A 12,742-nucleotide genomic window follows, 5' to 3' on the forward strand; every position below is an offset into this window, starting at 1 on the left:
TATTGGGCACAACATCAAATCAGACAAAACTGCTCTCATCATCATAAACTTTCTAGTTTCACAGAAAAAAAATACATAAAAAAAGTTAAACACTGTTTATTATATTTTATTCTACTGTTAAATAAACCAACTAGTAAATCTTTACCTTTCTGCAAACAAGCTAGAACAAAGATTTCTGGGTATTTCCAACTCAATATTTAACATTCAACCATAGGAAAATTTAGCCTTCTGATCTAATGGTTTGGACTTATTTCTTCTTTGGTACAGAGCAAAAGTCTACAGTCTACATCTTTATTCCTCAATTAGATAATCTATGGAAACACTGAACTAAAGGACCTGAAGAAATAAAAAAAAAACAAAAACCTGGGAATATTCTTAATGAGTGTCTAAATTTGATAAAGAAAAATGTTACTTAAGAGGACAAGCCAGTTGTGGTAGCGCATGCCTGTAGTCCTAGCTACCTGGGAGGCTGAGGCATGAGAATCACTTGAAACTGGGAGGCAGAGGTTGCAGTGAGCCGAGACCGCGCCACTGCACTCCAGCCTGGGAGACAGAATGAGACCCTGTCTCAAAAAAAAAAAAAAAAGTACAATGAATTTGCCCGAGCACTGTGGCTCACACCTGTAAACTCAGCACGTTGGGAGGCCGAGACCAGTCCGGGCAACCTGGCAAAACACCATCTCTAAAAAAATACAAAAAACTAGCAGGCTTGGTGGCACATGCCTGTAGTCCCAAGCTACTCGGGAGACTTAGGTACCTGAGCCTGGGAGGTCAAGGCTGCAATGAGCCATTACTGAACCACTGCAATTCAGCCTGGGCAACCAGAATGAGACCCTGTCTCAAAAAAAAAAAAAAAAAAAAAGTACAATGAATTGTACCAAGTTCAAGAGGCCAAATAATTTAAAAAAAAAAAAGAGTACAATGAATTGAAAATAAGTTTGGAGGGCATGAGAAATAAAGAGGTAGAAAGAAAAGGGATTACAAATATCTACGCTGGTACTGGCACAGTAACTTTACATCATTACTGACTATATAAATTGAACAACAAATAAAATGTTTTCCAATGCTTCCAAGCTTTATTTTCACCCCAGGCCATTTTTCCTACTACCATCAAATACCTATTGCATCCCAACTTCTTCCTTCTTTCAATAACAACTGACCTTTCCTGCTTCACTCCTATGTAACTTCCCAACCAGTTCTCTGCTTATTTTCTTATTTGCTTATGTGTCTTTCTCTAGTGAACTCCTAGAAAAGCAATCACGTTTTTTAAAACGTCAGGTACTAGATCATGGCACATAAAAGGCACTCAATATTTATTCTGACAATGGACAAAATTATAACACCTAGCGCATAGGGCTGTTATGAGGATTAAATAACACAAGTAAAGTTTTTGGCACAAAATCTGCTATGTATTAAGTACTAAATAAAGATGAACAGAATTGAATTATTTTACCAGGTAGGTCAATCTTTATTATATTATAAATAAGGAGATAGAATCAGGTTCCAGTGATAGAGATTTATCCAAGGTCAGTTGAGATGTCATCCAGAAATTTACTAATTCCAGAGGAAAAGTGAAAGAACTAAGTAAAGACATAACTAAGTAAAAGGCCGGGCACGGTGGCTCCTGCCTATAATCACAGCACTTTGGGAGGCCAGGGTGGGTGGATCATTTGAGGTCAGGAGTTCGAGACCAAACTGGCCAATATAGTGAAACCCCGTCTCTACTAAAAATACAAGAATTAGCCAGGCATGGTGGCGCACAATTGTAATACCAGCTACTTAAGAGGCTGAGGCAGGAGAATTGCTTGAACCCAGGAGGTAGAGGTTGCAGTGAGCTGAGATCATGCCAATGTACTCCAACCTGGGCAACAGAGCGAGACTCTGTCTCAAAAAACAAAACAAAACAAAAAGTATAAGAGCAAATTGCAAAAAAGACTTCCTTTTAACTAGGATCTTGTAATACTAACTATACAACCCAAACTCTCTCCTGTATTATGGTCCTCTACTTCTTGATATTCCTTTCTCTTTTCATGTGGCGACTACTCTGCTGTAAGTTCTATTAATAACCCAGGATTGTCTTGTTCAATCTAGATATAATTTCATTTTTCTAAACTATACAAAATCATACCATTTCTTTCCTTATTTATCAAGAATGATGACCTATTTCCTTGTAAGCATATTTACAAATAACCCAAGTATCTGTTTGTCAATAGTTTTATTTGTGATTTTTTTTTTTTTTTTTTGAGATGGAGTCTTGCTCTGTCGCCCAGGCTGGTGTGCAGTGGCACAATCTTGGCTCACCGCAACCTCTGCCCCCTGGGTTCAAGCAATTCTCCTGCCTCAGCCTCCCAAGTAGCTGGGACTACAGGTACCGACTACCACACCTCGCTAATTTTTGTATTTTTAGTAGAGACGGGGTTTCACCATGTTGGTCAGGCTGGTCTCGAATTCCTGACCTCAAGCAACCTGCCCACCTCGGCTTCCCAAAATGCTGGGATTACAGGCGTGAGCCACTGGGCCTGGCCGTGATTTGTGATTCTTTCCTTCAAAACCTAGCAGTGTTTTTATTGAGGCCAGGAATGTGTATTTCTAGATTAAGAAATTAATACACAGGAATAAGATACCAATGGCTAGGATAGTTCCTATTACGCAGTTAATGTTCAATAAATACAGGTTCAATAAATAAAATGCTATTTTATTTCCATCAATCTGAATGGACTTTTAACTTCTAATGGGAAGAAACTGCCATTTTCACCAATACATCCCCAGTGCCTATCAGAATACCTGGCACAAAACAAGTGCTCAGTGTCTATTTGATGAGTGCCTAAATCAGAGGTCAGCAAGTTTCGTCTATAAAGGGGCGAATAAATATTTTGGTAGACATTTTATGCTTTGGCAAAGACTAAATATTTTATGCTTTTCAAGCCATATAAGCTCTGTGACAACTACTCAACTCAAATTTCCCATCGTAGCATGAAAGTAGCCATAAACGACATGTAAACAAATAGGCATGGCTATATTCCAATAAAATGTTTACCAAAAACGGTGGGGAGACTAGGTGTATTTTAACCCATTCAAAAACAAAAGCAAGGGATAGACCATAGTTTGCCAACTCTTGGGATGAATGAAGTCAGACTCACAGATAATAAGTAACTGCTGAAAAAGAGAGGCAAGGAAGAAAAGAGGGAAAGAAGAAGAAAGGTAGAGAAGAGGGAAGTAAGGAAAGATGAATGCAACCTCTGTCTTATGAATAAAAGAAAAATAAAAAAAGCTGTACTTGGGGAAAACAGTTATGAAACACACATTTCCCCCCAAATAACTAAAACAACATAGTATACTTTTTCAAGTCGAAAGATGTGATCTCTTTCTAAGCGTTCTTCTGCTTGTTTCAACCCCAGCCTCTGCTCAGGTGTCAATGCAGATTCATCTATCACAGTGGCATTTTCTAAGTAGTCCATCTCTGAAGAATTTTCTTTATTAGATTCATCATTCTTCATTTTACCTAGAAAAGAAAGCAATCACTCAGTTATCATCAGAACTGGTAAATTTTTAAATTTTTTAATGGAAAACAGACATTAAATTTATACACAGAAAAAATATTATTTCCTTATATTTTCCTTAGGAAAGTATACAAGTTGGTATGCATATATAAAATATAGGTAAGAGGTAGACATGGTATCCAAAGTCACAAAGAAAAACCTTTATGGGTCAAATGACTAGCTTGTTCTTCCAATCTATCCATCAAGAGATACATAACTGAGACTTACATTACACAAAGCTAATTACACAAAGCTAATATAACATAATCATCTTGGAGAATCTCTGAAGTCAATCTGATAAAAAAACTGTTTGGAGTCCCACTCAAAGAAGATTAGTCACTGAACTAAATTCACTAGCAATTAAAACAACATATGTATACTCCAGACCACAAACCCACACAAGGCTCCTTCTTCTTTCCTTCCACAGAACTCCTGGATATCTCCACTACATTAATGGTTTTCCTTTGCTTCTCTGCCTCCTAACTAGATTGTAATCTCTTTGAGGCACAGACTATGTTTTCACCTTTGCATCTGCAGCATCTAGCAGTATGTATCTAACCTACAGTAGGTTCTCCCACCAGCGCGATTTTTAAAATATAAACCAAATCACCTTATTCTCTTGCTTAAAACACATAAATGGCTTTTGAAGAGTTCAGAATAAAGTTTTAACTCCCTAGCATATTACGCACAGTCCCTTGACCTCATGAAGGCAGTAAACAGAATAATTCCAAGTTGTAATAAATGTTACAAAGGAAAAAAGCAAGGAACTGAGAGGGAGACCAACTTTAGATATGGGAGCCAGAGAAGGCTTCTCTGAGGAGTTATCATTTAAGCCAAAACCTAAAGAAAAAAATCTAGCTAACTTACCTGTAACTCCAACCTCAGATCTTGCCACGACACTTTTCACTTCATATTAAATGTGCCAGAATTAATCACCAAAGCTGCTTCAAGTCTCAATATCTTTACATATGCTACTCCCTTCTCCATTGATGCTCCCCCATTAATATTTACCTGTCCTTCAAAATTCAGCTTAAGCACCACTTGTTTCCATAAGCCAGTCTGACATTCTCTTGTTCTATTACCCTCTATTATCTCACATTTACAGAGTAATGGAATTTGTATTCATGTATCTGTCCCCTACATTAGATGACGGATTTCTTGATGCTAATGACCGGGGTCTTACTTTTACCTTCAGATTTTAATACAATGCCTAGATCTGAGCTAATGCTCTGTGTCATGTTGAATAAATAAATGAATCTGGATGTATCTACAAGTATTTCAAAAAAGAAATGCTCATAGATCATCAACAAATCTCTCCATTCTGTCCTCAAAAGCCTGTCCTCAAAATTGCATGGCATTCTGTCCTCAAAATTGCATGGCATCTAGAGGAACCCTGACAGTCAAGCCTACCTTTTGATAGCACTAATTTTCTGAACAAAGAAATGGTATGCCTCTGGAGATGGTGCATTTCCTACCACAAGAGCACAGGAGTTTCTAGACTAGGAAGGCAAACTCAGATAAGGATGTTATAAAAAGGACTCAAACATGAGAAGTATGGCTAGGTTACATAAGTGTTTCTTAAATTACAGTTGGAGGAATATTGATGCACTATAAGCAACTTGCAATTATGTACTAATATTTGGAAAAATGATTTAGTTTTTTAGTAACCATTTTATTATGGAAATGTAGAAGAAAAGATGAAATCCTAGTATTATTTCTACTTTTCATGAAAAAGGATGGTAAGAAGACAATCTAATAATGTAACCTTCTTCTCTTTTCCATATTTATAACTGGCCTTGTGTGACAAGGTAACCAACATCAGCAAATCTTGTAAAAGTATCGTTTCTGCTAACACAAAGAATTAGAGAAAGCTGCCTTTCTTCAAAAGTCAGAAATATATGAAATTATTTAATTTTCTGGAATCAACATATAAAACAAAATAATACCAGGCAGAACGTCCTAAATTGTGTTCCAAAAACAATAGTTCATTACATGTTAATACTCTCACAAAACAAGAATTGAAAACCTGTATCCACACAAATACTTGTACATGAATGTTCATAGAATATTCACAATAGCCAAAGATGGAAACAATCCAAAAACCCATTTCTGATGAATGGATAAACAAAATGTGGCATTGGTATACAATGGAATATTATTCAGGTGTCATAGTCAGCTCAGGCTGCCACAACAAAATACTACAGACTGGGTGGCTTAAACAACAGAAATTTATTTTCTCATAGTTCTGGAGACTGGAAAGTCAAAGATCAAGGTGTCAGCAAGGTCACTGTCTGGTGAGGGCTCTCTCCTGGGTTGCAAACAGCCACCTTCTTGCTGTGTGTTCACATGGCCTTTCCTTATAGGACAGAGGTTCTCTCTTCTCCTTTTTTATAAGGCCAGATTAGGACCTCACCATTATGACCTCATTTAACCTTAATTACCACCTCAAAGCCCTGTTTCCAAATACAATTATGTTGGAGGTTAGGGCCTCAACATATGAATTTGGGAGGGGACATAATCCAGTCCATAACAACAGCCTTAAAAAGGAATGAGGTACTGATACACGTTACAACATGGATAAACCTTAAAAACATGACACTAAATGAAAGCCAGACACAGAAGACCACATATTGTATGATTTCATTTCTATGAAATATTTAGAATAGGCAAATACATAGAAACAGAAAGTGTATTAGTAGTTGCCAGAGGCTGGGGAAAGTGGGGAATGGGGAGTAACTCTTAATGGGCATGGGGTTTCCTTTTGGGATGATGAAATTAGACACTAGTTATGACTGTGCAACACTGTGAATGTACTTAGTGTCACTGAATTGTATACTTTAAAATGGTTAAGATGGTAAAATCTTACATGTATTTATCACCAAAAAACTTAAATATAGAGTTAGCATACAACTAGCAATTCCATTTCTAAATATATATACTGAAAAAATGAAAACATACATCCACACAAAAACTTTTACACAAATGTTCAGAACAGCATTATTCAGAATAATCAAAAGATGGAAACAATCCAAATATCCATCAACTGATGAATGGACAAACAAAATGTAATATATCCATATAATGCAATACTATTCGGCAATAAAAGGGAATGACGTACTAATACATGCCATAACATGAATTAACTTTGAAAAAAATATGCTAAGCCAAATAAGGCAGGCACAACAGGCCACATATTGTATTATTTCATTTATATAAAATAGGTACATCTAAAGAGAAAGAAAGTAGATTCATGGTTGTCAGTGGGGAGGAGGAGCGGGTAATGAATAGTGACTGCTAATGGGTATGGAGTTTCTTTGTAGAGTGATGAAAATGTTCAGAATTAGATAGTGATGGCAGCGCAATTTTGTGAATATAATAAAAACTACTGAACACTTAATACTTAGATTTTTAGTAAAATATTCTTTTTTTTTTTTTGAGACGGAGTTTCGCTCTTGTTGCCCAGACTGGAGTGCAGTGGTGCAATCTCGGCTCACTGCAACCTCTGCCTCCCAGGTTCAAGCGATTCTCCTGCCTCAGCCTCCCAAGAAGCTGGGATTACAGGCATGCGCCACCACGCCCAGCTAATTTTGTATTTTTAGTAGAGACGGGGTTTCGCCATGTTGGCCAAGCTGTTTTCGAACCCCTGACCACAGGTGATCCACTCGCCTCTGCCTCCCAAAGTGCTGGGATTACAGGCGCGAGCCACTGCACCTGGCCTTGAATACTTAGATTTTTTAAATAAAAAAAATTGACCCAACAGCAAGACAGAAGTATATACTTTAAAAGGATGAATTTTATGACATATAAATCCCAGCTACTTGGGAGGCTGAGGCAGGAGAATTGCTTGAACCCGGGAGGCGGTGGTTGAAGTGAGCTGAGATCACGCCACTGCACTCCAGCCTGGGCATCAGAGTGAGACCCTATCTCAAAAAAAGAAGGCAAAGGAAGTTTAAGAGAGCTAGCCATATGGACATTTGGGGAATGAGTGTTTGACGCAGAGGAAAAAGCAAATGCAAAGTTCCTCATATGGATATCTATCTTCTCAGTTGAGGAAATTCAAGAAAACTATGCGGATGGAGCAGAGAGAAAGGGTGAGAAGTAAACAAATGAGGGCAAGGCAGAGAAATAGGGGAGTGTCACAGATCGTGTAAGGCTCTACTAGCCACTGTAAGAACACTAGCTTTTACTCTGATGGATGGAAAGCCACTGAAACACTCTAAATACTAGTAATGTGATCTGACTCATTTTAACAGGATCATTCTGCTTACTATACTGAAAACACAATGAAGGGTGATGTAAGTGAAAGTAAGATGAGTTGGTGCAGGCTGCTTGAAAGCATTATCTTGACCAGCAGCATCAGCATCACTTGGGAGCTTATTAGAAATCCAATTTATCAGGCCTTATCCTAGGCTTTCTGAATCAAAACACTCTGGAAATGAGACCCAAGACTCTGCATTTTAATATGAATCCCAAACAATTCATATACACATTAAAGTTTGAGAAACCCAGATCAAGAACACTCTCTCCTCAAATATTCACCTGGCTGGTTCACCTCTTTCCTTCAAGTATTTGCTCTAATGTCACTTTCTCATTGACACTTTAACTCCACCAATACCAACAGTAGCATCATTCCCTATGTCGTTCCTATTTCATTTTTCTCAAAGGATTTAAAACCACCTTACTTAACTTACTCTCTATATTTTATTTTCTTTTTTTTTGAGATGGAGTTTCGCTCTTGGTGTCCAAGCTGGGGTGCAATGACGCGATCTCAGCTCACTGCAACCTCCGCCTCCCAGGTTCAAGCAATTCTCCTGCCTCAGCCTCCCGAGTAGCTGGTGCTACAGGCACACGCCACCATACCTGGCTAGTTTTTTGTATTTTTAGTAGAAACGGGATTTCACCATGTTAGCCAGGCTGGTCTTGAACTCCTGACCTCAGGTGATCCGCCTGCCTCGGCCTCCCAAAGTGCTGGGATTACAGGCGTGAGCCACCGTGCCCGGCCAACTTACTACATATTTTTCTTATTTATTGTGTTTGTTATCTGTTTCATCCCACTAGAAGATTAACTCCATAAGAGTGGAATTATCGGTTCCATCACTTATATATTCCTAATGACTAGTTCAGTTCCTGGCATGTAGTGGACACCAAAAAACAAAATTTTATTGAATGAATGAATAAATGACAAAAAGAAAAATGATGTGCCAGGTGGGAGCTGAAGTTAGGCCTAATGGAGAAGACTGAGATCAATCAAATTTCTATATAACCTATCAAGTCCAAATAGATAATGATCTAGCCATGTATGGTAGCTCATGCCTATAATCCCAGCACTTTGGGAGGCCGAGGCAGGCAGATGGCTTGAGGTCAGGAGTTCAAGACCAGCCTGGCTAACATGGTGAAACCCCATCTTTACTAAAAATACAAAAATTAGCCGGGTGTAGTGGTACACGCCTGCAGTCCCAGCTACTCAGGAGGCTGAAGGACAAGAATCACTTAAGCCCAGGAGGTAGAAGTTACAGTGAGCTGTGATCGCGCCACTGCACTCCAGCCTGGGTGACAGGGTGACTCTGTCTCAAAAAACAACAAAAAAAAGACAGCTGGACACAGTGGCTCACGCCTGTAATCCCAGCACTTTGGGAGGCCAAGGTGGGTGGATCACAAGGTCAGGAGTTCAAGACCAGCCTGATCAACATGGTGTAACCCCATTTCTACTAAAAATACAAAAATTAGCCAGGTGTGGTGGCATGCACCTGTAAATCCCAGCTACTCAGGAGGCTGAGGCAGGAGAATCACTTGAACCCGGGAGGTGGAGGTTGCAGTGAGCCAAGATCATACCACTGCACTCCAGCCAGGGCAAAAGAGCAAGACTCTGTCTCCAAAAAAAAAGATAATGATCTAGATATAAAGGTTTTACTGTATTTATTTCACTGAGAATCAATCTAATAAGAAATCATTAATTCAAACATTATTAATTTGGATGTTTTCATATGGGAAAAAAAGAAGTGCTAAACAATTACGTATAAACATGACTTCAAGGCTAATACTATACATATCATATTATACATGAATTTAAAGAGAATTCTTTAAAACATGAGAAGCACTTACTTATGAAAAATGACTGTATACTACAAATCATTTTTATTAATTTGTTATACCAAGTTTCCCAAAAGAACCTCTACTTGGTCTACTAGCTTCCTTAAGCTAGCTTCCTGAAACTAGTTCAACTCATTCTCCATGTTAACAAGTAAAAACTGCATTTAATTGGAGTAATATAATAAGTGATAGTCATTGCCATTGCATGCCCACGTGTCCGGTACTACATGAAACCCTCTACTGGATTATTTCACTTAATCTTCATAACATAGGCAGCAGCATCTCCACTTTTTTAAAAATGAGAAAACATATTTTTCAGTGATAAGCAGTTTATTGAAGGTTACAAAGTAAGTAAAGAAGCTGGAATTCAAAACCCATGCAATTTCACTCCAGAGCCCATATTCTTAACTATCTCTCTATGTCATCTCAATTATTTTGTTGACTTTAAAAGAAAATAATCTTTGGCCAGGGCAGTGGCTCATGCCTGTAATCCCAGCACTTTGGGAGGCTGAGGCAGGCGGATCACCTGAGGTCAGGAGTCTGAGATCAGCCTGGCCAACATGGCGAAACCCCATCTCCAGTAAAAATACAAAAATTAGCTGGGCGTGGTGGCAGGCGCCTACAGTCCCAGCTACTTGGGAGGCTGAGGTAGGAGAATCGCTTGAACTCAGAGGCAGAGGTTGCAGTGAGCCTAGATCACACCACTGCACTCCACCCTGGACAACAGAGTGAAGCTCTGTCTCAAAAAATAAATAATCTTTAAATCATGTTTTTCACCAATTCAAATAACAAGACCCTTAACTATCTTTTTTTTTTTTTTTTTTTTTTTGAGACAGACTCTCGCTCTGTCATCCAGGCTGGAGTGCAGTGGCGCGATCCTGGCTCACTGCAACCTCCATCTCCTTGGTTCAGGCAATTCTCCTGCCTCAGCCTCCCGAGTAGCTTAGATTACAGGCATGTGCCACCACACCCGGCTGATTTTTCTATTTTTAGTAGAGATGGGATTTCACCATGTTGGCCAGGCTGGTCTCGACCTCCTGACCTCAGGTGATCCATGCACCTCGGCGTCCCAAAGTGCTGGGATTACAGGCATGAGCCACCGCGCCTGGCCAATTAAGTGACCTTAAACACCACTATTTACTGGCCCGGTGTAGTGGCTCATGCCTGTAATCCCAGCACTTTGGGAGGTCAAGGTGGGGGTATCACTTGAGGCCAAGAGTTCAAGACCAGCTTAGCCAACACAGTGAAACCCAGTCTCTACTAAAAATATAGAATTAGCCAGGCATGGTGGCGCACACCTGTAGTCCCAGCTGATGCAGGAGAATTGCTTGAACGTGGGAGGCAGAAGTTGCAGTGGAGCCAAGTTCACACCACTGCACTCCAGCCGGGGTGACAGAGCAAAACCCTGTCTCAAAAACAAAACCAAACCAAAACAAAAAAAAAAACCACCACTATTTCCTGAATCATTCAAGTACCATGATGTTTACATTTTTCCCATATCTAAACATTACCAGTATTATCACTTATTTGATTCTGTCTCTAAACTGACTTAGTTTTTAAATTTGGCCTTGCCCTCAGCCTTAATATACAATTGAGACTGAGACACATAAAGTCAACTCTATTAAAATTCTTTTAAGTCTGTCGATATACCATCATCTGTGTACCACAAGAAATAAAAACAAGCTATTTCAGAATTCTTTACCAGTGTTTCTCAAAGTGTGGCAAATAATGATTCAGAAATAGGTTCTTTTTATTTCTACATCAAGATAACGCTGTATTTTTCCAGCCATGAAAACACTAGGAAAAAAAGATTATAAAAGAAATTATTTAATTTAAACAAAATCAGGATTAAAGTTACTCAAAAGACATAGACAATATTTCTAAACAATTAAAACTAAAATCAGGATCCCACAACAAAATGAATTTTACAACAGTTCTCAAAGTAAACTCTAAGTGTCCTAACCAATCCCTGCTTCCAGTCCTGTTCCTATCAAAGAATTTCCTGCATTATACTCAAAAGGATTTTTTTAAAAATCTGATCACAGCATTACTTTACTTAAAACTCTTCCAAAGGCCGGGCACAGTGGCTCACGCTTGCAATCCCAGCACTTTGGGAGGCCGAGGCAGGCGGATCACGAGGTCAGGAGATTGAGACCACGGTGAAACCCCGTCTCTACTAAAAATACAGAAAATTAGCCAGGCTTGGTGGCAGGCGCCTGTACTCCCAGCTACTCGGAGAGGCTGAGGCAGGAGAATGGCGTGAACCCGGGAGGGGGAGCTCGCAGTGAGCCAAGATTGCGCCACTGCACTCCAGCGTGGGTGACAGAGCGAGACTCCATCTCAAAAAAAAAAAAACTCTTCCATGCCTGTAATCCCAGCATTTTGGGAGGCCAAGGCAGGCAGATCAAAAGGTCAGGAGTTCAAGAACAGCCTGGCCAATATGGTGAAATCCCGTCTCTACTAAAAATAAAAAAGTTAGCCAGGTATGGTGGCACGTGCCTATAGTCCCAGCTACTCAGGAGGCTGAGACAGAATTGCTTGAACCTGGGAGGCGGAGGTTGCAGTGAGTGGAGATCGCACCACTGCACTCCAGCCTGGGCAACACAGTAAGACTCTGTCTCAGAAAACAAAAAACAAAAAAAAATTCTTCAATGGCTTCTGAAAATACTCAGGATAAAGTCCAAACTTTCTGGCATGGCTTAGAAGGCCCTGATATTCCTGTGTTCCCTTTCAGCTGCATCTTTTGCCGTTCTCAACCTCAACTTTCTGCTCCAGCCGTACTAAGTCTCAGTAATACTCAGTCTCACAATTTATATCACCTATTTTGTCTGCCCAAAGTCTAAATCTCACTATTTAATCATGTGCTCTCTCAACTTCAATTAAGTTTTTGGCACTGAAAATCATTGTTTATCTGTACCACCCTCCTATCAGACTGGAAGCTTCCTTGAAGTTTAGGGCTATGGGTTTTTTTGTTTGTTTGTTTTGGTTTTCCATTGTAAACAAATGCTTGATATATATATAAGAAGAACTCAATACATACATATTTGGTGAATGAATGAGCAATACCTTATCAAGACCATTTAAACAAGAGTGTGTATGTGTACGAGCATGTG

General features: G+C 39.3%; 1 protein-coding gene across 50 annotated transcripts in view; it reads right to left on the bottom strand.

Moving 5' to 3' along the window:
- TUT4 (terminal uridylyl transferase 4) overlaps positions 1–12,742 on the bottom strand; it is a 130,189-nt gene that overhangs the window by 89,278 nt on the left and 28,169 nt on the right. For all 50 annotated transcript variants that reach the window (XM_017000804.3, XM_047416324.1, XM_047416327.1 and 47 more), the window contains one exon: positions 3,339–3,502. In XM_017000804.3, the coding sequence (XP_016856293.1) occupies positions 3,339–3,502 (164 nt within the window). The remainder of the gene's footprint in view (positions 1–3,338; positions 3,503–12,742) is intronic.

The sequence above is a fragment of the Homo sapiens genome, chromosome 1 (genome assembly GCF_000001405.40).
Source record: "Homo sapiens chromosome 1, GRCh38.p14 Primary Assembly".
Lineage (NCBI taxonomy): Eukaryota > Metazoa > Chordata > Mammalia > Primates > Hominidae > Homo > Homo sapiens.